Source organism: Homo sapiens, chromosome 15, assembly GCF_000001405.40.
Source record: "Homo sapiens chromosome 15, GRCh38.p14 Primary Assembly".
In the NCBI taxonomy this organism is placed as follows: Eukaryota; Metazoa; Chordata; class Mammalia; order Primates; family Hominidae; genus Homo; species Homo sapiens.
This window is the reverse complement of record NC_000015.10, coordinates 68,003,949-68,030,665: the sequence shown is the minus strand read 5'-3', so window position 1 is coordinate 68,030,665 and position 26,717 is coordinate 68,003,949. Positions and strand designations below refer to the sequence as shown.

Genomic DNA, 26,717 nt, shown 5'->3' with positions numbered 1-26,717 from the left:
GTAAAGGACCAGACAGTAAATATTTTAGGCTTCGTGGGCCATAAAGTGTCTGTCACAACCACTCAACTTTGCTGTTGTAACGTATAAGGAGCCATAGACAAGATAGAAATGAATGAGCATGCAGTATTCTGGTAAAGCTTTAGTTACAAAAATACGCAATGGGTAGAATTTGGCAGCTGTCCTTAATATTCCACCCCATCCTAGATAAAATGATCTCTGTTAACATATCGATGTATTTTCTGTTTTCCTGATTCACCTTAATTATCACAGACTGGTGAAACTGGAGGACAGTAATGAGGAGATTGTTAAATTTTTTGTATATATCTCTATATTGTTTGGCTTGTCACAAATATATTAGCTTTATAATTAAAATATTAAATATCTAATAAAAAATCTATAGCTTTATCTATGTATAAAAATATTTTCTTAAAAAAAAAAAACCAAAGACAAAATAGAACAAAATATCTGAGAGAAGAACCAAGCAATCCTATGTCAGTAAGAATCAGCCTGTCAGCAAAAATAGCTAGAGGCAGCTAGTTATTCTTTAAGGCCCATGGCAAACAATCTCTCCTTGTCCCTCCAGATGAATGTCACCCCACCTTCTCTGAAAGCCCTAAGCTTTTTTTTTTTTTTTTTTTTCCTTGATGGAGTTTCACTCTTATTGCCCAGGCTGGAGTGCAGTGGTGTGATCTCAGCTTACTGCAACCTCCTCCTCTCGCGTTCAAGCGATTATCCTGCCTCAACCTCACGAGTAGCTGGGATTACAGGAGTATGCCACCATGCCCAGCTAATTTTTGTATTTTTAGTAGAGATGGCATATCACCATGTTGGCCAAGCTGGTCTCGAACTCCTGACCTCAGGTGGTCCACCTCCGTCGCCCTCCCAAAGTGCTGGGATTACAGGCATGAGCCACCACGCCCAGCCTGAATGCCCTAGGCTCTTTATTGACACCTCAGAGGCACTGATTGTATAAAGAATCCTGCTACCTAGAATAGAAGCACCTAGTGGGCAGTAATCCCATTTTAAATTGAGAATTAGCCTAGATTAGTAATAGGGATAGTTGCTTTGGAGTCATCAAGACCTTGTTGATCTTGGGCAAGTTCCTTGACTTCTTGGAGCCCCAGTGTTCTCATCTGTAATTTGGGATAAAAAGGCCCATGTGACATGACTGCAGAGTTATAACACTGAAGAACAAGGCTTCAGCTGGGCGTGGTGGCTCACACCTGTAATCCCAACATTTTGGAAGGCTGAGGTGGGTGGTTCACCTGAGGTCAGGAGTTTGAGATCAGCCTGGCCAACATGGTGAAACCCTGTATCTACTAGAAATACAAAAATTAGCCAGGAGTGGTGGTGCATGCCTGTAATCCCAGCCACTCTGGAGGCTGAGGCAGGAGAATCGCTTGAATGTGGGAGGTGAAGGCTGCAGTGAGCCAAGATCGCTCCACTGCACCCCAGCCTGGGTGACAGAGCTAGACTTCATCTCAAAAAAAAAAATTAGAAAAAAAAAGAAAAAAATAAAAAAGAGAACAAGCCTTCAAGTTTGGATTGGGCTTCATATCCAGACTTCACCATTTGTGTGCTCTGTGTTCTTACGCGAGTCACTTTACGTCTCTGAGCCTGAATTTCCTCCCCTGTTTGTGAAGGATCATTACGACACCTATTTCAAAGGTTGGGTGGAGATACAATCAGAATGTAATCCTGTGGTCTTTCTGGTCAGAGCAATCATTATCATCTCTCACTTGGCTTACAGCAACGGCTTCTGCCTGGCCTTCCTGCTTTCAGCCTCCAGACTCTTCTCAAGGCAATAGCCAGGGTGCTCTGGTTGAAACTTAGTCGGATCATGACTATCCTTTAAAATGGAAGTCCACAAACTATGGCTCACAGGATAACTACAGCCCATGAGCTCAGAATGATTCCCACACTTTCAGATGGTTAAAAAAAAGAAACAAAAGAGGAACAATATTTTGTGACCCATGAAAATTATGTGAAATTCAAACAGTGTCCATAAGTAAATTTTGTTGGAACACAGCTATGCTTCTTTGTTTACGCACTGTCGATGGCTACTCTTGTGTTACAATGGCAGGACTACATAGTTGCAACAGAGACCACATGGCAAGCAAAGCCTGAAATATTTACTATCTAGCCCTTTGCAGAAAAAGTTTGCCAAGCACTGCTCTGAAACACAGATTAACAAAGCAGGACAAACAATAAGCATTCTGATGGCTTCCCATCTCTCTCAGAGTAAAAGACAAAAGCACTTCATCATCTTGCCATCTCCTCGTTAGTCACTCTGGCCTCCCTGCTGTCCATATACCAGTTACACTTGGCCTCAGGCCTTTCCCCTGGCTGCTCCTTTACCCTGGAACGCTCTTCTCCATGTATCTGCATAGCTAACTCCTTCATCACCTTCCATTGAATGTTGGCTCAAACGTCACCTTCCCACAGAGCACTATGTGTGATAGGGACAGGAGGCAGAAAAATTCTGGGAGGGCAGGTCCCCAGCGAGGACCCCACCCTTGAGCCTGGAACAGTGGTCCAAAGCAAGAACTTACATCCCTGTTTTCCCACTCAAATGTTGCCTTTTCCAAAACCACTATGGCGCCTGCCCTAACCCGCATCCTGTGTGCATAAAAACCCCAGGCTTACCTGGGAGAGAGACGAGAAGGAGCTGGATGTTGGAGAGTATGGTTGGATGTCGGAGAGAGAGACTCATCCTAAATGTAGGCATATAGTTTTTATCATCCTCTGAAGAGAGGAGTCTGGCAGGGATGGCTGGAGAATCTCAGGTGAAGATTACCTTCTTGTTCCGTCCCCTTTCCAGCTCCCTTTCTCACTGAGAGCCACTTTCATTGGCAATGAAATCCCCCACATTTACCACCTTCAATTCGTTTGTGAGACCTTATTCCTCCTGGACTCCAGACAAAAACTCGTGTGCCTCAAGTGTGGGCACAAAAGGCTGTCACACTGACCCTCTGCTGAGCTGTTAAGCTGTCTACAGACAGCAAAGGTAAAGGGCACTGTAACACTTCCTCTGTGGCTTCAGGGACTTCCGGCACCCTCCCTTAGATGCTGCCATGGGCCAGTACGGAGTTCGCTCTTGCCGGCACCTAAAAGCACACACCCTGGCTCCTGCACCTGCTCACCTGTGCTCCCACTCCCACGTGGGGTGGAGCAGAGAGTGAGTGGAGTTCGCCCCTGCCAGTGCCAGTGCACTCCAGTTCCCACCCACGAAGGGGTCAGGGAACTGTCCTGCTTCACCTGGACCATCTATTTAATATTGTAAACCGTTTCTGTGCTCCCCCGATGTAGGCACTCCTGATCCACCTAACCCAGATCTATTCTTTTCACAGTAATTGTCATCTTCTAACACTCCACTTAATCACTTGTTTACTACATCTATGGGCCTATCTTTCCCAGAATGAAAAGTCCTCCAGGGCAGAGATTTTTATTCATCAGTGTCTCCCAGCACTTACTACCTAGTAGATCTTAAGACAAATGTGTTGAATGAGTGCATGAAATAAAAGAAAAGAAGATATGAAGTATTAAGCACATTGCCTGGCCCATAGTAGGTACTTCAAAGCACTTATCATTGTTATTATTATTGATTGACTGCTAGTATGTATAAAGTGAGTAACATAAAACAAACACAATACATTTTAATCTATCTTACCTTCTCTTGATATCTCTTACGGCACTAAGGACAGTGCCTTATATGTGCTAAGCACTCACTACTCTGATGAGATTTCACTCAGCCTTGTGCCCATCTCTATTGCTATCTACAAGAGCAAGCCAAATTTTGTGCCTCTGATCCCTGTTCCTCTCTGCTCCTCAATATTCAGCTCCCAGGGTTCTGTGCCGGGGCAGAGTGTAAATGTGATTAAGGTGACACCATCTTACTACACTATATACCTATATACCTTAGTGACCCCACTGATATGGTTAGGATTTGTGCCCCCACCCAAATCTCATCTTGAATTGTAGCTCCCATAAATCCCATGTGATGTGGGAGGGGCCCAGTGGGAGATAATTGAATCATGGGGATGTTTTCCCCCATACTGTTCTCGTGGTAGTGAATAAGTCTCATGAGATCTGATGGTTTTATAAGGGGTTTTCCCTTTTGTATAGCTTCCATTCTCTCTTGCCTGCCATCAGGTAAGACATGCCTTTCGCCTTCCACCATGATTGTGAGGCCTCCACAGCCACGTGGAACTGTGATTCCATTAAACCTCTTTTTCTTTATAAATTACCCAGTCTCGGATATGTCTTTATCAGCAGCATGAAAACAGACTAATACACCTACCTTACCAGATCTGCTATCCAGAGAACTCTGAATCTGGCACCAACTTCTGAAAGACTGTTCAAATGCAAACCACTTCAGCAGTACCGATGCTTGACCCTAAGATAAGATTATGATACAAGTCTCCAGGGGTTGGAAAAAACCTGACTGTGTAATCACCATGGCTGGGCTTTGTTTACATAACAGTGTTTGAGAAATGTGTTCAGGACTATTTAAACTCAGACCATTTAAATTCTAAAGAATTCAAAAAATCAAGGCAAACACTTAGAGGATTTTAAAGACTAGCAAAAGGCTGGGTGTGGTGGCTCTGGCCTGTAATCCCAGCACTTTGGGAGGCTGAGGCAGGTGGATCACCTGAGGTCAGGATTTCAAGACCAGCCTGACCAATACGGGAAACCCCACCTCTACTGAAAGTACAAAAATTAGCCAGGTGTGGGGGTGTGCACCTGTAGTCCCAGCTACTCAGGAGGCTGAGACAGGAAAATCGCTTGAACGTAGGAGGTGGAGGTTGCAGTGAGCCAAGATCGTGTCACTGCACTCCAGCCTGAGCGACAGAGCGAGACTCCACCTCAAAAAAAAAAAAAATTAGCAAGATAGGAGACTATATAACTTATATAACATCTACCTCTCCCTTCTCACCATGGTTCTAAGGATTAAGTCACTCTATGTAATATGTCTGGGGGAAACAACTGTGGGGGATTGGGAAATAGAGTCTCTGTAGGTATATAATGAGATCCTACATCCTGAGCTTCCTGGGGGTATCCTCAATATCAAATATTCTGGTAGTGGCAGAGTACGCACCTTGGATTTTCGTTTCTGAAAGTATTGCCATCACTTTAATTCATTGAGATAATCTCCCAAACCCATTTGTGTGTGTGTGTGTGTATACGACAGGGTCTCACTCTGTTGCCTAGGCTAGAGTGCAGTGGTGTGATCTTGGCTCACAGCAACCTCCACCTCCCAGGCTCAAGTGATCCTCCCATCTCATCCTTCCAATTAGCTGGGATCACAGGGTGCACCACCAGACCCAGCTAATTTTTGTTTTTTTTTTATAGAGACCAGGTTTCACCATGTTTCCCAGGCTGGTCTCAAACTTCTGGCCTCAAGTGATCTGCCCGCCTCGGCCTCCCAAAGTGCTGGGATTACAGACATGAGCCATTGCACTCAGCCTCCACACTTTTGTTTTACAAAGAAGAACAATGAGGCCAGAGAGGGACTCTCCAGTGCTAAACACAGTTCCTGGCCACAGATGCTCACTAAACATTTGCTGACTGACTAACCTTGGGCCAGTGACTTCCTTGTAATTAGCAAGTTCCAGAGTCAGAACTCAAATTCAAGTCTCTTAACCCTGAGTTCAATGTTGCCTAGGTTCTCCTCACTCCTACGATAGCTCTATCTCCCGAAGAATGAAGATTTTATGTGCCAAAGACCATGTTGTCTCTGTCAGCACCTATCTCCTCCTTAGGCCCTCTCAGCTAGAGACCAGCCAGCCAGCCATGGGCAGCCTCAACTCCACACAGGCTCCAGGCCAATATTGACACTGGTAGAGAGAGTATTAACAGCCACAGATCCTTCAAGCAGTTGGGTTTGAAATTAAGTGAGCTTCTGCAATCTTGCTGAGGCCTCTGGGTACCAGACATACATTTCCCCAACACCTTTGTTACAGCTATCATGTGACAGCATTCTTTTTACAGGCCCTTCTGAAAAAGTTGTCTTGCTCTGAGTGGTGTAGGTTCTGCAACCTATCCCCCAACTGATTAGACAGAGGATCAAGCCCAAGTCAATGATGGCCATGTTTTTTGTTTGTTCGGTTTTTTCTTTTTTTTTTGAGACGGAGTCATACTCTGTCATCCAGGCTGGAGTGCAGTGACGCGATCTTGGCTCATTGCAACCTTCGCCTCCTGGGCTCACTGCCTCAGCCTCTCAGAGTAGCTGGGATTACAGGCGCCCACCACGACACCTGGCTAATTTTTGTATTTTTAATAGAAATGGGGTTTCACCATAATGACCAGGCTGGTCTCAAACTCCTGACCTTAGATGATCCGCCTGCCTCAGCCTCCCAAAGTGCTGGGATTATAAGCGTGAGCCACCATGCCTGGCCAGTGGTGGCCATCTTTATAGGATGGAAATGAGGGAAGCCTGTAGGGTGAACGGACGTGATAAACACTCACAAATGGACACCTCCTCTATTGCAGAGTGACCAGTGGGACCCACAAGAGTCACTCTTTAGAAAAGAGTCAGACAGAAGATGTAAGGGATGCTGAGTTGTGCCACCATATCCCTTTCAGGATGCAGGTGCTATTTGCCCAGCTGTTGGCATTATTGGCTATTGACTACCCATAGCTAAGTCTCTGTCTCTGAAGATTGCCCTCAGCCAAGTTACACCCCTTTCCAAGAAGCAGATAGTATCCAATGCCTAGCGGGAGGACAAAGCCCTGGCTCCTTGCTATCATTGTCACAGACTTTGCAAAGATTATGAAAACAAGAGAAATCTAGCATGGCTGACTCCATCTTGCTTCTAGCCTCACAGTCTGGCTGTCCTTGCTCATTCCTGGGCATAGGCTAAGCTAACCACAGGAGGAATTTAATTTATGGTTTAACTTTGAAGCAAAGATGATAACACTGCCTCCCTAAAACGGGTCCCCTCCTCATTTGGAGGCTGAAACAGCCTTTGTAAGACTCATGAAAGGCCGTAAGATTAGGACTATGAGAAGGGCCTGAAATCTGCTGAAGTGTAGGCATAGTTTTGATCATCCTTTACTGCTTAGGAGTCATGTGGCCAGAGGTCACAAGATTTGTGACTTCCCCAACTGCTCCTATAGATAACATCACTGTTATAGAACCTAAGATTGGTCTTTTGAGATGTTTTTCAGACTTTTGCATTCTGGTAAGTGACTGACCCTACCTGAACTCATGACTCATGACTCAACCGGTCCTGCGGCCCCCACCCAGAGGTGGACTCAGCACACAAGGACGTTTTCCACACTCCTGTGATCGCATCCTCAACAAATCAGCAGCACTCATTCCCTGGGCCCCGGCACACCCAACCATCTGTGAAAAACCCTAACCTCCAAGTCTTCAGGGAGACTGATTTGAGTAATAACTCCATCTTCCACTTGGCCAGTCTTGCATTAATTAAACTCTTTCTTTACTGCAATACTATGGTCTCAGTGAATTGGTTTTATTTGTGCAGCGGGCAGGTAGAACCCATCAGGTGGGGCCGGGCGCGGTGGCTCATGCCTGTAATCCCAGCACTTTGGGAGGCTGAGGCGGGCAGATCACGAGGTCAGGAGATTGAGACCGTCCTGGCTAACACGGTGAAACCCCATCTCTATTAAAAATACAAAAAAATTAGCCGGGCATGGTGGCGGGCACCTGTAGTCCCAGCTACATGGGAGGCTGAGGCAGGAGAATGGCATGAACCTGGGAGGTGGAGCTTGCAGTGAGGCGAGATTGCACCACTGCACTCCAGCCTGGGCAACAGAGTAAGACTCCGTCTCAAAAAAAAAAAAAAAAAAGAACCCATCAGGTGATTACGTTACCTTCATTGGAGGCAACTCTGAAAAGCCATCCCAACTCCAGAATTCCCCCCAAGGTTGGCTGAGGCCCTCATCCCTCTCTCCTTACAGGCATTGATCCTGAGAGTTCTCCCCAGCAAACTTCCAGCATACAAATAGGTGCCTCAGAGGCGCCTCATCCTAAGACAGTGTGTAGCAGACAGGGAAGCTGAAGCCTGGAGACCATCTGAGAAGACGGTGAGCAAAAGCCATGAGGTACCAGACACTACGGTCTCACAGAAGTCATTCCGAGGTCAGGAGCCACAGATTAAAAATGAGAAAAAAAAAGTAGACGGGGTCAAGTCACTTTCTCAACGTATCCTGAACATCAGCTGAAGTAACGAGAAGTTGTTTTTCCTTCCTGCCAACTGGAAAGAGCCTCAGGACCACACTCAGCCAGGCACCAGAGCTGGGCATCTGCCTTGTGTCTGTCTTGTCCCTCCACTTCCCTTGACCCTTGGACCAGTGACAGGGACACTCTGCCTACATTTGTCAGCCTCTCCCTTTGAGGAACTGGCCAACGTTCTCTAAACAGCCAACTTCTGGCTGCAGCGTTGTTCCGAATAAATTGACCTAGAACAAAGGTGCTTCCTCCTGTCTGACTCCAAGTACAACAAGTTCTTTGGACACTGTGTCTTGACTTCTGCTGGCTGCCCTGGGGCGTAGTTTGAGGTGGGGTCATCTTCTCTTGCTCTGTACCCGCAGGCTCCAGCCCCCTTGCTCTCCCTGTTAATCCAGGATGCTGAGGGTAAGGCCAAATTCACTCATGTTGTGATACTCTCCTTTTCCTTTCTGGCTTTAGTTTCTCCTCTAAGAAAATACAGACATGGGCCGAGCGCGGTGGCTCACACTTGTAATCCCAGCACTTTGGGAGGCTGAGGTGGGTGGATCACCTGAGGTCAGAAGTTCGAGACCAGCTTGATCAACATGGAGAAACCCCATCTCTACTAAAAATACAAAATTAGCCAAGTGTGGTGGCGCATGACTGTAATCCCAGCTACTCGGGAGGCTGAGGCAGGAGAATTGCTTGAACTCAGGAGGTGGAGGTTGCAGTGAGCGGAGATCACAACATTGCACTCCAGCCTGGGCAACAAGAGTAAAACTCTGTCTCAAAAAAATAAAAAAAGAAAGAAAAAAAGAGAAAATACAGACATGGCTCCTATGGCCTTAGGGTTTTCCCCTCATTTCTTGCTCTCTTGCGCTGCATGTTTCTTTTATTCTTTAGCAAGAAATCTTCTCAAGTTTCAAACATTCATTAGATCTGAACTAACGGTTATAGAGAACATCTCAGTAGTAGCATGAAGTGTTCACATTGAGTCTGAAATATTAGCTCAACTACTTCTTTTTTTTTTTTTGAGACAGAGTCTCGCTCTGTTGCCCCCAGGCTGGAGTGCAGCCGCACTAACTTGGCTCACTGCAAGCTACGCCTCCCAGGTTCATGCCATTCTCCTGCCTCAGCCTCCCAAGTAGCTGGGACTACAGGTGCCCGCCACCACGCCTGGCTAATTTTGTTTTTGCATTTTTAGTAGAGACAGGGTTTCCCTGTGTTAGCCAGGATGGTCTCGATCTCCTGACCTCGTGATCCGCCCACCTCGGCCTCCCAAAGTGCTGGGATTACAGGCGTGAGCCACCGCGCCCAGCCAACTATTTCTTTTTATAATGTAAAAGTTGATGGATCATAAAAGTTGGCTTTTAAATGGATTTACTTAAACATTTTTAATATGCAAAAATTTAAACATTTACACACAAAATCATATGAAGCCCCTTATACCCTTCATCCAGCCCAATCAACCTAAAACATACGTGTTTATTTCTACCGTGTTCAGTTGACTGAGAGGAGTCAACAGATGGTAAATCAACTCATTTACTTGCAGGTAACTGAAGGTCAACTTAAAATGACAATTCCTGATTGCTTTGTTTGATTGACCTGGGTCAGAGTGCTAATTCAGGCATGCATGGTGAGACTCCCACATTGAACTGGTCTATAAGTGTCAATGATTCTCTCTTCTGCCCATCCCTTGGATCTATCCCCTTCTATGTACCCCTTGCTTCCCGAATTTGGGAACCTCAGTTGCCTCTTGCCTATGCAGCTAGATTTTATATACTGAGATTTTAATAGGTTGCCTCCCTCCCTCATTTGCTCCTCCCCATTCCTCTCATTTAAACAGAGAGTTATCTCTGAACTATGAAACCTTGAAAAAGCTCTCAGGCAGAGCAGAAGGCAGAAGGAGGCAAAGCTTTCTGGCTTTTGTTTGCGGGAAACCCAAGAAGCCTGAGGGAAAATTAGGGAGTTTGCTAAGGAATGAAGGGAAGAAGCTGGTTTGCAGGTATTGGTGGTGTTTAGGGACAAAAATAGAGCATCTTGGTGGGGAAAAAGAAGAGAGAGGCCTGAGGGTCTCTGATCAGCAGGGAGCATGGTTCTGCTTCCTGAGAGGTGGCACGTCCCCAGGAAGGAATCGGTGCTGGCTTGTGACTACAAGCAGACTCACAAACAGTGCCTGAATCCCAAACATGACATGAAGATAACAGCATTACTGGGCCCAAAGGGACCATGTGGGCAGGGCCGACGGTTGTCTCAGTGGTACCACATGTCTGATGAGGAGCACGTTGCCACTCCCCACTATCCCTCTCCCCAACAGTGATATTGGCACTAGGTGAGACCCTGGAGCTGTGTTGCACCACCCCTGCTGCTGAAGAGGGGAAGAACTCAGATCAAGTCTCAGCTGGATGGAGGCATCGCTGAGCCTCAGTTAAGTAATTTGCCCAAGGCACACGGCTACTAACAAGTGGCAGAGCTAGGCCAGGTCTGCCTGTGTTAGCATCCATGTGTTTAATTACGCTGCAGGATTGCAGAAATTCTATGCCTTCGTACCTCCATCAGCTCCCAGAGGAGCAAATGACACTTTTTTGCCCAGAGGTATGAAGGTAGATCAGATACCCTTTCAAGTGATCTTTCATCTAAGGCAGCTGTGGAGTGACAGAGGCCAGGGTAGGCAGGCAAAACCTCCAACTCCCCAAGACTTCCCCATACTCACAGAACCTTACAGCAATGCCAAGCCTCAGGTTCCTTGTCTGTGAAATGGAGGTGCAACACCTACCCACCTCATAGAGCTCATGGTGGGCAGATGATGGAGAAGAAATAAACTGTAATGTACAAATGTCCCAGTTTAGCAATACAGTCAGGAAGAACAGTAACAACTAGCACTTCAACCACAGCCCTGAGGCCCTGTTGGACCTTTGAGTGTGGTTCGTTCCTGGAGGCTAAGCTCTCTGGTCCCAGCCTGTGCACAGTCTGTTCCCTTACCTGGAACATGTTGTCCCACCCTCCCCTCCCTACTTTCCCTTTGCAAACTCCTACTGATCTTCTGGTCTCAAAAGAAGATGTCACCTCCTCTGGAGGGCCTTCTTGGGCCATGCCCCACCCAAACATCTGAGTAACACACCCCTTCTCTAGGCAATCCTGACATGCACTGCTCCTTGAGCACTGAAATCCCCACTCACCAGCCCATCAGCCCACTTCTCTCCCGCTACGGGCTTCCCCCAACTACACTAGAGACCTCATTGAAGGTGGGGGCTGTGTCTTGTTTATGGTTATATTTCTAAGCTCTAGAACAGGACCTCACACATAAGGGACATTCAGTATTTTAATATTTGTTAAATGAAGAAAGGAAAAAATATGCCCTCTGAGTCATCAAAGACAGATTCATTTATGGCCCTAGTAGTTTTTTCTTTCCTTTTCTTTCTTTTCTTTCCTTTTCTTTCTCTTTCTCTTTCTTTCTCTCTTTCTTTCTCTCCCCTTCCTTCCTTCCTTTCCTTCCTTCCCTCCCTCCCTCCTTTCTTTCTTTCTTTCTCTTTCTTTCGACAGGGACTTCTCACTCTGTTGCTCAGCCTGGAGTGCAGTGGAGTGATTGTAGTTCACTGTAGCCTCGACTTCCCAGGCTCAGCAATCCTCCCACCTCAGCCTCCTGAGTAACCAGGACTACAGGCACAAACCACCACTCCCGGCTAATTAGAAAAACATTTTTTTTGTAGAGACAGGATCTTGTCATGTTGCCCAGGCTGGTCTTGAACGCCTAGGCTCAAGCAATCTTCCCACCATGGCCTCCTAAAGTGCTTGGATTACAGGTATGAGCTACCATGCCTGGCTCAAAATAGTTTCAATGCCAAGTATATTTCATTCTGTCTTAATTTCCTGAAAATTGGTAATCCAAATACAGCTTAAATATAACATAGCTTGCACCAACCACCTGCAAGTAGATGACTGAATGATCAAGCCCTCCTCAATGGGCTTGATAATTCTTTGACTGGCTTCACTGGGCCTAAGACAGTTCTTGAGAAACATTTGCTGAGTAACTGGTAAACATAATATATATTTCCTTGACCAGAGTGGGGATGAAATTAACTGCATTAAAGTCTTATTTGTTTAATAAAATATAGGATTTTATAAGGAACAAGTCTTTACCTCTTGAAAAAATATCAAGGGCCAGGCATGGTGGCTCACGCCTGTAATCCCAGCATGTAGCAAGGCCGAGGGGGGAGGATCCCTTGATGTCATGTAGAAATGGGACAGAGTTCTTCCTTCACATATTCTTATGCTCTCTGAGTCATCAAAGTCAGATTCATTCATGGCTCTAATAGTTTCTTTCTTTTTTTCTTTTTTGAGATGGTATCTTGCTCTGTCACCCAGGCTGGAGTGCAGTGGCGTGATCTCGGCTCACTGCAACCTCTGCCTCCCAGGTTCAAGGGATTCTTCTGCCTCAGCCTCTTGAGTGGCTGGGACTACAGGCGCTCGCCTCCATGCCCAGCTAATTTTTTTTGTATTTTTAGTAGAGATGGGGTTTCACCACATTGGCCAGGCTGGTCTCGAACTCCTGATCTTGTGATCCACCCGCCTTGGCCCCCAAAGTGTTGGGATTACAGGCGTGAGCCATGGCGCCCAGCTAGTTTCTTTTTCTTCCTTTTTTTTTGAGATTGGGTCTCGCTCTGTTGCTCAGGCTGGAGTGCAGTGGAGTGATCATGGTTCACTGCAGCCTCAGCCTCCCAAGCTCAAGCAATCCTCCCACCTCAGCCTCCTTTTTTTCTTTTTCCTTCTTCTGTTGTCCCACTGATCACAAAACCCACACCACTATCTCACTGATGATATACCGCCTAACCCTGAGGCTTTAGTCATACAAAGAAAATAGCCATTCTTCTGTGCTTCCATGTTTAACCATTTCTTTTACTTAAAGAATTCTAGAAACTGGCCTCAGAAGACCCAGATATCTCATCAAGGTGGCGCCAAGTCCCACCTAGGGCAGGAATGCTGAACAATTGATTTACAGCCTTGTTGCCTCTGGCCATACGATCAGGTGGCCCATTACTCAAGATAACCATCACTATCAGATATGGTGACCTGCATACCGTACCCATCATGTGCACTGCCCAGCCCAGCCTGCATACCTTACCCCTGATGTGATTCCCACTCTCGGTCTAATAAAAAAATCCCCACCAGCGTTTTCTGGTAGTCAGCTGACAGATCCTTTCCACTTTCACTGTCTCCCTTGTGCTTGAGCACAAGCCCTGAAATAAAAGCCTTGTCTGGAAAATCTGCTTGCTCCGTGTTAACTTTCATTGCTTGGGGAGGCAAAGAGCCTGTGGTCTGTTACAGCTAGGAGTTCGAGGCCAGCCTGGGAAATAGTGAGACTCCTGTATCCACCAAAAATTTAAAAAATTATCTGGGTGTGGTAGCACACAACTGTGGTCCTAGCTACTCAGGAGGCTGAGGAAGGAGGATCACTTGAGCCCAGGAGTTCAAGATCAGCCTGGGCAACACAATGAGACCTATTTCTACAAAAAAATTTTAAAACTAGCCAGATGTAGTTGGCTAGGACACACAACTGTAGGCCGAGCTACTCAAGAGGCTGAGGCAGGAGGACGATTTGGACCCAGGAGTTCAAAGTTACAGTGTTCTATGATCTCATGACTACTCTCCAGCCTGGGTGGCTGAGTGAGACCCTGACTTTAAAAAAGTAAAAAATAAAAAAATCAAGGACCAGTCTATGTGAGGTGTATTAGTCTGTTCTCACATTGCTATAAGAAAATACCTGAGACTGGCTAATTTATAAAGAAAAGATGTTTAATTGGCCCACGGTTCTGCAGGCTGAATAGGAAACATGGTGGCATCTGCTCCTGGGAGGCCTCAGGGAGCTTACAATCATGGCAAAAGGTGAAGGAGGAGCCAGCACTTGACATGGCCAGAGCAGGAGGAAGAGAGAGAGGCAGGAAGTGCTACACAGTTTTAAACAACCAGATCTCACGGGAACCAAGGGGGACGGTGTTAAATAATTAGAGCCCCCCCCCACCATGATCCAATCACCTCCCACCAGGCCCCACCTCCAACATTTGGGATTATGTCTCTTTTTCTTTTTCTGGAGATGGAGTCTCGCTCTATCGCCCAGGCTGGAGTGTAGTGGCATAATCTCGGCTCACTGCAACCTCTGCCTCTTGCGTTCAAACGATTCTCCTGCCTCAGCCTCCCAAGTAGCTGGGATTACAGGTGCACACAACCCCCAACTAATTTTTGTATTTCAGTAGAGATGGGTTTCGCCATGTTGGCCAGGCTGGTCTTGAACTCCTGACTGCAAGTGATCAGCCTGCCTCCATCTCCTAAAGTGCTGGGATTACAGGCATGAGCCACCGTGCCCGGCCAGGGATTACATTTCAACATGAGATTTGACAGGGACACACATCCAAACCACATCCCGAGGCCTGATACCTGGAGCTATGGGATGGCCAAGATAATCTGGAGTCTAGATTCTAGAGAGCCCTGCCTTCAATTGCTCACAGTCTAATGATGTGCAATAATGGGTCAGGTTTTGTGTTTCACTCCCATAATCCCAACATCTTGGGATGCCAAGACAGGAGGACTGCTTGAGCCCCTGAGTTCAAGACCAGCCTTGGCAACATAGTGAGATGCTGTCTCTATTAAAAAATAAAAATTAAAAAAATAAAAAAAAACAGAGAGAAAAGGGAAATAATAAACAGTGTGCCAGTCCTAATCCTAACCCTCGCTTTTGCTCAATTCCACAGATTTGTGTTGTGCTCCCCTTTTTAACCTCAAGCTGGTCAATGAGAAGTTAATGAACTAAGAAGTCAGCCAAGCCCTAAGCCAGCAACTGCCCTAAACATTGATGAGACCTCTGGGCCATGGACATTTTGCAATGAATGATGGGGGAAATTTAGCCTTATTCGCAGTAAACAGTACTAACTTAAAATGTACCCCACCCTACCATGACAAGCAGCTGGGCCATTAAAATTATAAATTGCCACTTAGGCTAATGTATATTGTTTGCCTGACACTCTGTGGAGCTGTTCATCTCTCTGCCAGAGACGAGCGCTATCTGGTTTTTGTCTTAGGCTGAAGTAAGAACAAGAGGTCTCCTATAAAGTTTTGGATGGCTGGTGGCAGAAGACAGTTGTCATCTCTTCAATACCCAGTGCATTCTGGGCACAAATGATGTATTCTTTTGCCCTAAGAAAAAAATGGACCTAGAGATGTAGGCTTTTTATTTTGGTCTGGCTTCCATATCTCCCATATCTTTATTTTATAGAAAAATCTTTGATAAGTCTAGAGCTGGGTATCTAGAACAACCTGAGCCAATGAGCTCCTTCCCTGGGAATCTGGAATCAAGACTGAGAGATTACAGTTTCAGTGTGGCTGGTTAATAGACAGAACTCATAAACTCAGGATCTGGGAATGGTGATTTCTGCCACCTTGTCTGGGAAGCAAAGAAAGCCAGAATGTAGTCAGAAAAAAAGAAAGAAGGGGGGGATGAGAAATAAGGGATTATTTATTACCTTTATTTTTAATACATTTACGTTTGTGTAATTCAATTTTAATAATGACTGTGTTTCATAACTGTCTGGCAAAATTCCTGTAAATTTGATCCTCTGCTTTTGCAAACTGGTACATGCTGGCTCCAGCCTACCACTGATTGAGATGAATGTTTGTTGGTCAAATTCAAATACAGGGTTAATACTAGAGTTAATATAGAGCAATCTCACCTAACCCCTCATTGCTAGCCCTTGATGCATACATTCCTATGCTATTGTCCTTAACTTAGAACCATTTCAGTCCCTATGGCAGCTGCTCCAAATCTTTACCTATCCTTACTTCAGAGGAAGTGATGACCGGACCCTCTCCAAGCCCCTTCTCCCCAACCCCCTATCTGTGGCTCTTGGCTATCCCCTCCAGGACCTCAGACCTTTAACTGCAGTCAGTACATCCCAAACTGAATTCATTATTTCCTGCCTGAACTTGCTCTTCCTCCCGCTTCTCTACCTATTTTACACCCTAACCACAAAGAACTATTTGTTCCCTATCTCATTTAATAGCATCCCAATTCACTCTGCTTACCAAGTTTGACCTCTTAGTGCAGTGGTTCTCAATCTTGGCTTCATTCAAAAATACATGCAAGCCTGGGCAACATAGTGAGAACATGACTCTACCAAAAAAAAAAAAAAAATTAGCCAGGTGTAGTGGCACATGCATATATCCCCAGCTACTCAGGAGGCTGAGGTGGGAGGATTGCTTGACCTTGGGAGGTTGAGGCTGCAGTGAGCCATGATTGCTCTGCTGCACTCCAGCCTGAGCAACAGAGTAGGGGGATGTGGGAAGGGAAATGTGTGGCTGGGTACCACAGGCAGTGATGCAGACTTAATTGGTCTGAGGTGTGGCCTGGGCTTTGTGGGGAGGGGAGGTTTAAAAGATTCCCAGGCAATTCTAATGCACTGTCAAGTTGCAAACCACTGTTATAGACTAGATAAATGCTCCCTCTTAGCATTTATTATTTTAATTGGTTGCCAAGACCAGTGCATTCTGCCTCCAAAATGTGTCCCCAACCAACTGTGAATCTCCGTCTCTACTGCCCTTGCTCCTTCCCCGCCTCTCCTGCACTGCCATAATGGCTTTGTGGCTCGTCTCCCCACAGTCAGTCTCTGCCCCGCAGCACATCCTCCTTCAGCTGCCAGAGTGATCTTTCCAAAATACAGGTCTGGTTGTGTCTGACACCCATTGAAAAGCCATTATAGTGGCAAGCATTTGCTCCACAATATTTAGATGCAGGAAACATCACATCTCATTCTCTTTCTAAATCAAATTAAATGGGTTTTGAGCATCCATTTTTTCAGGAGAGCAGATTATTGAGGGTTTTCCTTCCTAGAATTGTACAGGAATCCCAGGAAGACAAAAAGCCCAGAAGGTTTAGGAAACGCCCCTCCGGGTCCATGTTGGTCACTGCCGAGATGCTCCTTGTCCAACTTGTGAGGCAGCTCCATTCCCTCCAACTCAAGCAGGGCCCAAAGATCTTTCATTCACACTTTCATTCCACAGCGTCTGAGGTCCAGTTTTCCTAGGCTCAGCACGTAGCTACCCTCAGTCTGGGGCATTGCGTGTCAATGGATGTTCAGGAATCCAACACCCATGGACCCACTACCTCTAAATACTCAGTCCCTTCCCTATCTTGGAGAAACTGACTCTCCCTCATCATCACTGGAAGTCTTCCCTCTCCCAGACAATGGGCTTGAGAGCTAAACACAAAGTCTTATTGGTGGAAGGGCACCTGGCCTGTAGCCTGAAGCAGTCCTCTTGGCCTAGAGGAGAGTCCTGGCCCTGGCTCTGGCCACCAGGGCAGGTAGCTATGACTCCTCTTATTCTAGGCTTTCCTTGAGGCCCCACCCATCATCTTATCAACACATTCCTTGATTATTTACCCCAGTGGAGTTACAAAATAATAGAAGTAAGGTGTGGTGCAGTCAATGATTAAACAGTCTTATTGTTAGTTGGTCACATAGTTGCAGAAACCAGCATCAACCCCCAAAGAGCTCCTAGAAGGCAAGAGTTCGGGAGGGGCTCCTCTAGTCTATTCAGTGTCATTCAGCATCCCTCTTGGCCACTTCTAACTACGCTCCATGGGTATGCAGGGAACATAATGAGCATAATGAATATAGTTAATTCCCTAACCATGCACCATCTTATAGCCTCCGTGACTTTGCTTATGCTGATCTCTCTGTCTCCAATACCTCCTCCTCCCTCTTTCTATACCTGGGGAGCTCCTACTATTCATTTAATATCCACTTAAATGTCGCCTTCTCCAAAAACCTTCCAAAATCTTCTCCCCCAAATGTTTGAGTCATACCTTCATTTTAGGTCTTGCCATGTTACTATCACTGATACTATAGATGTTGTTTCACACCCCCACCCCCCCCACCCAATCAACATGCATATCTTACACTCATGAATTTGTTGTGGGTAGGAGTTATTTTTTAAATCTTTGTATCTTCAGCACCTTCCACAAGTCAGACAAGAGATGAATTCCTACAATTTTAGAGCAATAGGGCACCTTGGAAGTCATCTCATCCAGTGGTTTTCCAATCTTGTTTCAGTTATGCAATCCCTCTTTTCAAACAACAACTTACATGGCAACCCAAAAAGCAGGTGAGAGCAGAGGCACTCTAGTTAAAGCAGGGAGGATGTAGTGGCAAGAGAGGTCTAGGGACCCACTTCTACAGGACAAAATAAAAAACCACAGGTCTATCCCAGTGCCTTCATTTTACAGATAAAACAACCAAAGCCACAGGACATTTCTATTTCACATAAATCTATTCCACTCTACACCCTTAGAAAGTTGTCCCTTTGGCCAGGCACGGTGGCTCACACCTGTAATCCCAGCACTTTGGGAGGCTGAGGTGGGCAGATCACCTGAGGTCAGGAGTCCGAGACCAGACTGGCCAACATGATGAAACCCCATCTCTACTAAAAATACAAAAATTAGCTGGGTGTGGTGGCACTCGCCTGTAATCCCAGCTACTCAGGAGGCTGAGGCGGGATAATCACTTGAACCTGGGAGGCGGAAGTTGCAGTAAGGCGAGATCGCACCACTGCACTCCAGCCTGGGCAATAGAGCAAGACTATATCTCAAAAAACAAACAGAAAATTGTCCCTTTATCCTCTCCAATCTTACAGAGTCATCACAAATTCATAAGAAGAATCGACAGCCCCTTTTGAAAGTCTTCGTTGAATAAACAATTTCCTTTGCCATGTACTGTACATCCTATTAGCCAATTCTTCAAGGGAGGTGTTTACAGGCAAGTTATTACTGTGTCAGGATTGCAAAAACATGTATGGCAATTAACCGGATTTTTTTTTTTTTTTGCTTTTAAAATTTCTTTCCCTCTAATATTGTGTGGGTGTTCGTGAAGTTAAACGACTTGAGTTGGTGCCACATAGCTCTGCCAGTGTGCCTCAGTGAGCAGTTCCAACCTGCAAAAAGACTCTTCCAGGCTAACAATCCCCAGGAAGGATTTGTAGTCTCTCATTACAAGGTCCAGTTGGGTTTTTGTTGTTGTTTTTAAACAATGCCAGAAAGTTGCCCAAAGTACTCCCTTTAAAAGTGGCATCACTGTGACATGCAGCTCCCCTTACTTATATAGTTACATGCTGCATAATGACGTTTCAGTCAACAATGGACCACCTATACAATGGTGGTCCCCTAAAATTAAAAAACTACACTTTTACAGTCCTGTTTCTATGTTTAGATACACAAATACTTATCATTGTGTTACAGTTGCCTACAATATTCAGTACAGTAACATGCTGTACAGGTTTGTGGCCTAGGGGCAATAGGCTAGACCATCTAATCTAGGTGCGTAGTAGGCTATACCATCTAGGTTTGTCTATGATGTTTGCACAAGGACGAAGTCATCTAACTGACACCTTTCTCAGAATGTATCTTGGTGGCTCAGTGATACATGGCTGTATATATCAAGTCTTGGGCATTTTTATTTTTATTTTTTTTGAGACGGAGTCTTGCTCTTTCACCCTGGCTGGAGTGCAGTGACTGCATCTTGGCTCACTGCAACCTCTGCCTCCCGCATTCAAGCAGTTCTCCTGTCTCAGCCCCCCAAGTAGCTGGGATTACACAAATGCACCACCACGCTCAGCTAATTTTTGTATTTTTAGTAGAGACGGGGTTCCACCATGTTGGCCCGGCTGGTCTCGAACTCCTGACCTCAGGTGATCTGCCCACCTCGGCTTCCCAAAGTCCTGGGATTACAGGCATGAGCCACTACGCCCGGCCAAGTCCTGGGCATTTTTAAATTACAAGGGAAGCTACTGGAAATTCTCAGGGTCAGATCACAGTTGCCTGGAGGAGTAAATGCATATTGTGAATTCCTGGGAGGGGATATTGTCATTCTATCACATTCACAGCCCTTTGTTCTCCTTTTCTGCCGTCACTGCCTGGGATCAGGCCTCAGCCTCTTTCACGTGGGCTATTGCTGTTGCCTCCTAGAACATTTCTGTCTTTAGTTCTGACCTCTCCAACCCATCTTTTGTGCTGCTACTAGAGAAGATTTTTGCAAACACATGTGTGTCCTTGGGAAGGGGCAGCGACCAAAAGGGGCTTCTGGGAGGTTGGCCTTGTTCTGTTTCTTGATTTGGGTTCTTGGGTATGTGGATACGTTGACTTCGCGAAAATTCATCAAGATGTAGGTTATGCTTTGTGTAGTTTTCCATCTGTATATTTAAATAAAAGTTTACTTTAAAATGAAAGTGTCCCTGATCACGATATAGTCCAGATCAAAAAATCATTTGCTTTTTCCCACCACATACAAGATCAAAGCCAGCCTCCTTAGCCCAACAGAGCCTTTCCAGCCTCATCCCTCCTCTCATCTATCCTGAGCTCTAGCCACACTGAACTGCTTCCTCCATGCTTCCTTCCATCTGGAATGTCATTTCCTACTTCTCCAACTGGATAAATCTTTCCTAGTCTTTAAAATCTGATTTAAAATTTACTTTCTGTATGAAGCCTGCCCTGATTCCTCCCAGTTAGATGTCCCTCCTGAGAGTTCCAACCAGTCTTCGTGTATCACTCTATCATAGCTGGTTTATCTGTCTTGTTAGATTGTGATCCAGGGACATTTCCTTCATCTTCTTTGTGTCCCAGGATCTGGCACACAAATGTTTGTCGAATGTTATGGAATAAATGATTAAATACATGAATGGAAAGAATTGTCTTCAATTCCCTCAGACTGTAAGGGTTATAAGATCCTTCCTTGGGCTAGATGATTGGGTATACCAGAATGGAGTTATGGAAGTTTGGGATTCAGTATAGAGTCTATTGGAGGTAGGGAGGTTGTTTAGAAGCATTGTATTTAAAAATTAGCCCAGTGCAGTGGCGCATGCCTGTAATCCCAGCTACTCAGGAGGCTGAGGCAGGAGAATCGCTTGAACCCAGGAGGCAGAGGTTGCGGTGAGCCAAGATTGCACCACTGCACTCCAGCCTGGGCAACAAGAGTGAAACTCCACCTCAAAAAAAAAAAAAAAAAAAAAAGAAGAAGAAGCATTGTATTCAGACAGGAGGAAGGCTGGAGTGATGCCAGGGACTTGTGGAGCACCCACCAGCAGAAGCTACTCTGAAATCACCATGCCCCGCCCCACTTCCAAACCAGCTCTTCTTCTGGACTTCCCTCTTTCAGTTTCTAGGACTGCCATCCTCACATTCACAAGGCACCAAAGCTCTTCCTCTTTTCTCTTTTTTGCTCCCTCCATATTCAATTTGCTGCTAAACTAAATACTTCTCAAATCAATCCTCCTTCCATTCCCATTGCTGGCCCCTATGTTAAGGCACCTGGCATTTCTTAGTCTGATAGTTCCCAACTAATCTCTCAATCAGGACCTTTTTGGAAACAGAAGCCAGTAATGGAAATGGACAAATTTTTTTAAAAGAGAGAAAGAAAAAGAAAAAAGACTGGCCAGAAAGATTTATTGAAAGATTTCAGGGATGACCTATGAAACTTCAAAAAAAAATGCTGGAGTCAAGGACAAGAAAGTCACTCCAGCTCTTTTGGTGCATCTCTCTGTGTCCTCAGTGATTTCAGTCTGTACCTCTTTCTCCTGTTACTCAGACCCCATGGTAGAGAACATGGCCATTACTCCATAAAGTTTTACATCTGCATTCAAGAGACCAGACCTGATAGGGGCTGAAATCTCCTTGGCTCAATTACAAATCCCCATGCAAGGAACTCTGACTTGCCCAGTTGTGTCAGTCCCCTACCCCTGTATGAGCATCATTGCCATGTGGAAGAGGTAGGGCCATTCTTAGAGAAGAGGAGCTAGACAAAAACAAACAAACAAAAAAAAAAACAAACAAACAAACAAAAAAAACCAACCAAACAAAAAACAAGGATAAACCTACACACCTTTGGCCTCAAATCTCTCCTACAAGCTGCCACAGGGTTATTCTTCCCAAAGCAGAGTCCTTGCCTCAGCTGCAGAGAGTCACCTCAACTGTGGGCATGCCCTGTGGCGGCTTATAGGTGCCCTATGGTTAAACTGAGCGAGATGGGGGTAAGAGCCTGTGTTAGGCCATACTTGCATTGCTATCAAGAAATACCTGAGACTGGGTAACTGATATGGTTTGGCTGGATTTAATAGGTTCACAGTTCTGTAGGCTGTACAGGAAGAATGATGTCAGCATCTGCTCCATTTCTGGGGAGGCCTCAAGGAGCTTTTACTTAGGGTGGAAGGTGAAGTGGGAACAGGCACCCTCACATGCCAGAGCAGGAGTAAGAGACAGAGTCGGGAAGAAGGTGCCACACACTTTTAAACAACCAGATCTCATGAGAACTCACTGTCTGAAGGACAGCACCAAGGGGATGGTGTTAATCATTTAAGAGAAATCTGGCCTCGTGATCCAACCACTTCCCATCAGGCCCACCATCAACCTTAGGGATTACAGTTTGATATGAAATTTAGAGGGACACATATTCAAATTATATCACTCCACCTCTGGCCCCTCAAATCTCATGTTGTTTTCACGTTGTAAAATACAGTCATGCCTTCCCAACAGTCCCCCAAAGTCTTAACTCATTCCAGCATTAACTCAAAAGTCCAAAGTCCAAAGTCTCATCTGAGACAAGGCAAGTCCCTTCTACCTATGAGCCAGTAAAATAAAAAAAACAAGTTATTTACTTCTAAGATACAATGGGGATATAGGCATTGGGTAAACATTCCTATCGGGGAATCTGCCCCGATATTCACATAGGTTCTTTTCTATTTTCCTTAAACGTCAGCGAGCTTGAGAAATAAAGGGACAGAGTACAAAAGAGAGAAATTTTAAAGCTGGACATCCAGGGGAGACATCACATGTCAGTAGGTTCTGTGATGCCCCACAAGCTGCAAAAACCAGCAAGTTTTTATTAGGGATTTTCAAAAAGGGAGAGAGTGTGCGAATAGGTGTGGGTCACAGACATCAAGTACTCTACAAGGTAATAGAATATCACAAGGCAAGTGGAGGCAGGGTGAGATCACAGGACCACAGGACCGAGGCGAAATTAAAATTGCTAATGAAGTTTCGGGCACCATTGTCATTGATAACATCAGGAGACAAGGTTTTGAGAGCAACCGGTCTGACCAAAATTTATTAGGCAGGAATTTCCTCTTCCTAATAAGCCTGGGAGCACTATGGGAGACGGGTCTATTTCACCCCTGCAGTCTCGACCATAAGAGATGGCTACGCCCAAGGGGGCCGTTCATAGGCCTACCCCAAGGTGCGCATTCTTTCTCAGGGATGTTCCTTGCTGAGAAAAAGAATTCAGCAATATTTCTCCCATTTGCTTTTGAAAGAAAAGAAATATGGCTCTGTTCCGCCCGGCTCACTGGTGGTCAGAGTTTAAGTTTATCTCTCTTATTCCCTGAACAATTGCTGTTATCGTGTTCTTTTTTCAAGGTGCCCAGATTTCATATTGCTCAAACACACATGCTATACAATTTGTGCAGTTAATGCAATTATCACATGGTCCTGGGGTGACATACATCTTCCTCAGCTGACAGGATTAAGAGATTAAAGTAAAGACAGGCATAGGAAATCAGAAGGGTATTGATTGGGGAAGTGATAAGTGTCCATGAAATCTTTACAATTTATGTTTAGAGATTGCAGTAAAGACAGGCATAAGAAATTATAAAAGTATTAATTTGGGGAACTAATAAATGTCCATGAAATCTTCACAATCCACGTTCTTCTGCCATGGCTTCAGCCAGTCCCTCCATTTGGGGTCCCTGACTTCCCGCAACACATTCCCATTCCAAAGGGGAGAAATCAGTCAAAAGAAAAGGGCTACAGGCCCCACACAAGTCCAGAACGCAGAAGGGCAGTCATTAAATCTTAAAGCTCCAAACTCATCTCTTTTGACTCTATGTACTACATACAGGGCACACTGATATGAGGGGTAAGCCCCCAAGGCCTTGGGCAACTCTGCCCCTGTGGCTTTGCAGGGTTCAGCCCCGAGGCTGCTCTCATGGGCTAGAGTTGAGTGCCTGTGGCTTTTCCAAGCTGAGAGTGCAAGCTGTGGGTGGATCTACCATTCTGGGGTCTAGAAGACTGTGGCCCTCTTCCCACAGTTCCACTAGTCAGTGCCCTAGCAGGGACTTTGTGTGGGGCCTCCAATCCTATATTTCCTCTTGACACTGCCCTAGAAGAGGTTCTCTGTGAGGGCTCCACTCCTGCAATAGGCTGCTTCCTGGATGCCCAAGCTTTTCCATACATCCTCTGAAATCTAGGCAGAGGCCACCAAGCCTCCACCACTCTCACACTCTGTTCAACTGCAGGCTTAACACCACTTGGAAGCCACCAAGGCTTACAGCTTGCATTATTCAAAGTGGTAGCCTGAGCTGTACCTGGGCCCCTTTGAGCCATGGCTGGAGCTGAAGGTGGGGAACAGTGTTCCAAGGCTGTGCAGGACAGTGGGGCCCTGGGCCTAGTCCGTGAAAGCATTCTTCCTTCCTAGGTCTCTGGGCCTGTAATAGGAGGGGCTGCCATGAAGATCTCTGAAATGCCTTTGAGGCCTTTTCCCCCATTTTCTTGGATATTAGCTCTTGACTCCCTTTTAGTTAGGCAAATATCTCTAGCAAGTAGTTCCACAGCCTGCTTGAACTCCTCCCCTAAAAGAGCTTTTTCTTACTTTGCCACATGGCCAGGCTAGAAATTTTCCAAACTTTTATGCTCTGCTTCCCTTTAAAATATATATATATATATTCCAACTTTAAGTCATTTCTTTGTTCCTGAATCTGAGTACAGGTTGTTAGAAGCAGCCGTGCCACATATTGAACACTTTGTTGCTTAGAAATTTCTTCCACCAGGTACCCTAAATCATCACTCTGAAGCTCAAACTTCCACAGATCCCTAGGCCATGAATAGAATGCAGCCAATCTCTTTGCTGAGGCATAGCAAGGGTGACCTTTGCTCCTGTTCCCAATAAGTTCCTCATTTTCCTTCATCTTCCTGTCTTCTTCTGAGCCCTCCAAACTCTTCCAACTTCTGCCTGATACCCAGTTCCAAAGTTGCTTCTACATTTTCAAGTATCTTTATAGCAATACCTTACTCCTTAGTATCAATATACTGTGTTAGGCCATTCTTGCGTTGCTATAAAGAAATACCTGATACTGGGTAACTTATAAAGAAAAGAAGTTTCATCAGCTCATGCTTCTGCAGGCTATACAGGAAGCATGATGCCAGCAGCTTCTCAGCTTCTGGGAAGGCCTCAAAGAGCTTTTTCTCATGGCAGAAGACAAAACAGGAGGAGGCATGTCACACAGCAGAGCAGGAACAAGAGAGAGTTGGGGAGGAAGGTGGCACACACTTTTAAACAACCAGATCTTGTAAGAACTCACTCACTGTTGGCCAGGCATGGGGGCTCACACCTGTAATCCCAGGACTTTGGGAGGCCGAGGCAGGCGGGTCACAAGGTCAGGAGATCGAGACCATCCTGGCTAACATGGTGAAACCCTGTCTCTACTAAAAATACCAAAAAATTTAAAAAAATAAATTAAATAAATAAAGATAAAAATACAAAAAACTAGCCAGGCGTGGTGGTGGGCGTAGCTACTCGGGAGGCTGAGGCAGGAGAATGGTGTAAACCCGGGAAGCAGAGCTTGCAGTGAGCTGAGATTGTGCCACTGCACTCCAGCCTGGGCAACAGAGCAAGACTCCGTCTCAAAAAAAAAAAACAAAAAACAAAAAAACAAAAAGCCAAAAAGAAAAAACAACAACAGAAACCTCACTCACCGCCATGCGGACAGCACCAAATGGATGGTACTAAACCATTCCAGGGAAATCCACCCCCATCATCCAATCACTTCCCACCAAGCCCCACCTCCAACACTGGGGATTACAATTTAGCATGAAATTTAGAGGGGACACATATCCAAACTATATCAGGGCCTGACCATTTTAACCTGATCTGGAACAACTCTGCCAGGCACTACTTCCCACAGATTTCCCCACCTGGTTGGCAGGCTTTATCAAGCCTGGATTGCAATTTTACTTCTTCCTTTGTTCATCCTCCTTTCTCTCCTTCCTTTCATGGCTGTTGATCCCTAATAAACTCTTCCTCATGGTCTGCTTCCAGAGAGGCCAAGCTTAGGAAATTGAACATATCCTTCTGCCCACCTAGATTTCCCATCTCCTACCATCTCTTTCTGCCCCAATCCAGCCCACCCTTCAGACACCACCTCTTCTGAGAAGCCTTTCCTAGTTGCCGCATTCAGATGTGTTCTATCCATCTGGTAAAGACGGTATGCCTCTTGTATTGAATTCGCCTCATTCTCCCTAATATTGTAGCTATTTGTGAGCTTCACCACCTCCCACCCATAGGCTCTTGGAGTACTAAGCCTATTTTTGTGTTTTTTTTTTTTTCCTCCAATGCTCTGCTCAACCCTTAGTGAATGATTGATAATATTCTCAAATCCTTGGGAGAATCAGACAGTATTCTCCTAGTGAATACAAATCACTAAAGCTCTTAAAAATGTGTTTTTCCCTTTGGTACTG

The 26,717-nt window shown here is 45.5% G+C and overlaps 7 annotated features.

The window, feature by feature from the left end:
• Positions 7,839 to 8,622: an enhancer, noted in NCBI's record as "H3K27ac-H3K4me1 hESC enhancer chr15:68314382-68315165 (GRCh37/hg19 assembly coordinates)". NCBI's record gives its function as "activates a minimal SCP1, AML or CMV promoter by ChIP-STARR-seq in naive H9 embryonic stem cells {active_cell/tissue: H9 hESC(naive)}" and the evidence as "EXISTENCE:reporter gene assay evidence [ECO:0000049][PMID:30033119]".
• Positions 9,851 to 10,388: an enhancer, noted in NCBI's record as "H3K27ac-H3K4me1 hESC enhancer chr15:68312616-68313153 (GRCh37/hg19 assembly coordinates)". NCBI's record gives its function as "activates a minimal SCP1, AML or CMV promoter by ChIP-STARR-seq in naive H9 embryonic stem cells {active_cell/tissue: H9 hESC(naive)}" and the evidence as "EXISTENCE:reporter gene assay evidence [ECO:0000049][PMID:30033119]".
• Positions 10,389 to 10,927: an enhancer, noted in NCBI's record as "H3K27ac-H3K4me1 hESC enhancer chr15:68312077-68312615 (GRCh37/hg19 assembly coordinates)". NCBI's record gives its function as "activates a minimal SCP1, AML or CMV promoter by ChIP-STARR-seq in naive and primed H9 embryonic stem cells {active_cell/tissue: H9 hESC(naive and primed)}" and the evidence as "EXISTENCE:reporter gene assay evidence [ECO:0000049][PMID:30033119]".
• Positions 13,349 to 14,056: an enhancer, noted in NCBI's record as "H3K27ac hESC enhancer chr15:68308948-68309655 (GRCh37/hg19 assembly coordinates)". NCBI's record gives its function as "activates a minimal SCP1, AML or CMV promoter by ChIP-STARR-seq in naive H9 embryonic stem cells {active_cell/tissue: H9 hESC(naive)}" and the evidence as "EXISTENCE:reporter gene assay evidence [ECO:0000049][PMID:30033119]".
• Positions 20,024 to 20,909: an enhancer, noted in NCBI's record as "OCT4-NANOG-H3K27ac hESC enhancer chr15:68302095-68302980 (GRCh37/hg19 assembly coordinates)". NCBI's record gives its function as "activates a minimal SCP1, AML or CMV promoter by ChIP-STARR-seq in naive H9 embryonic stem cells {active_cell/tissue: H9 hESC(naive)}" and the evidence as "EXISTENCE:reporter gene assay evidence [ECO:0000049][PMID:30033119]".
• Positions 20,910 to 21,795: an enhancer, noted in NCBI's record as "H3K27ac hESC enhancer chr15:68301209-68302094 (GRCh37/hg19 assembly coordinates)". NCBI's record gives its function as "activates a minimal SCP1, AML or CMV promoter by ChIP-STARR-seq in naive H9 embryonic stem cells {active_cell/tissue: H9 hESC(naive)}" and the evidence as "EXISTENCE:reporter gene assay evidence [ECO:0000049][PMID:30033119]".
• Positions 22,901 to 23,491: an enhancer, noted in NCBI's record as "OCT4-NANOG hESC enhancer chr15:68299513-68300103 (GRCh37/hg19 assembly coordinates)". NCBI's record gives its function as "activates a minimal SCP1, AML or CMV promoter by ChIP-STARR-seq in primed H9 embryonic stem cells {active_cell/tissue: H9 hESC(primed)}" and the evidence as "EXISTENCE:reporter gene assay evidence [ECO:0000049][PMID:30033119]".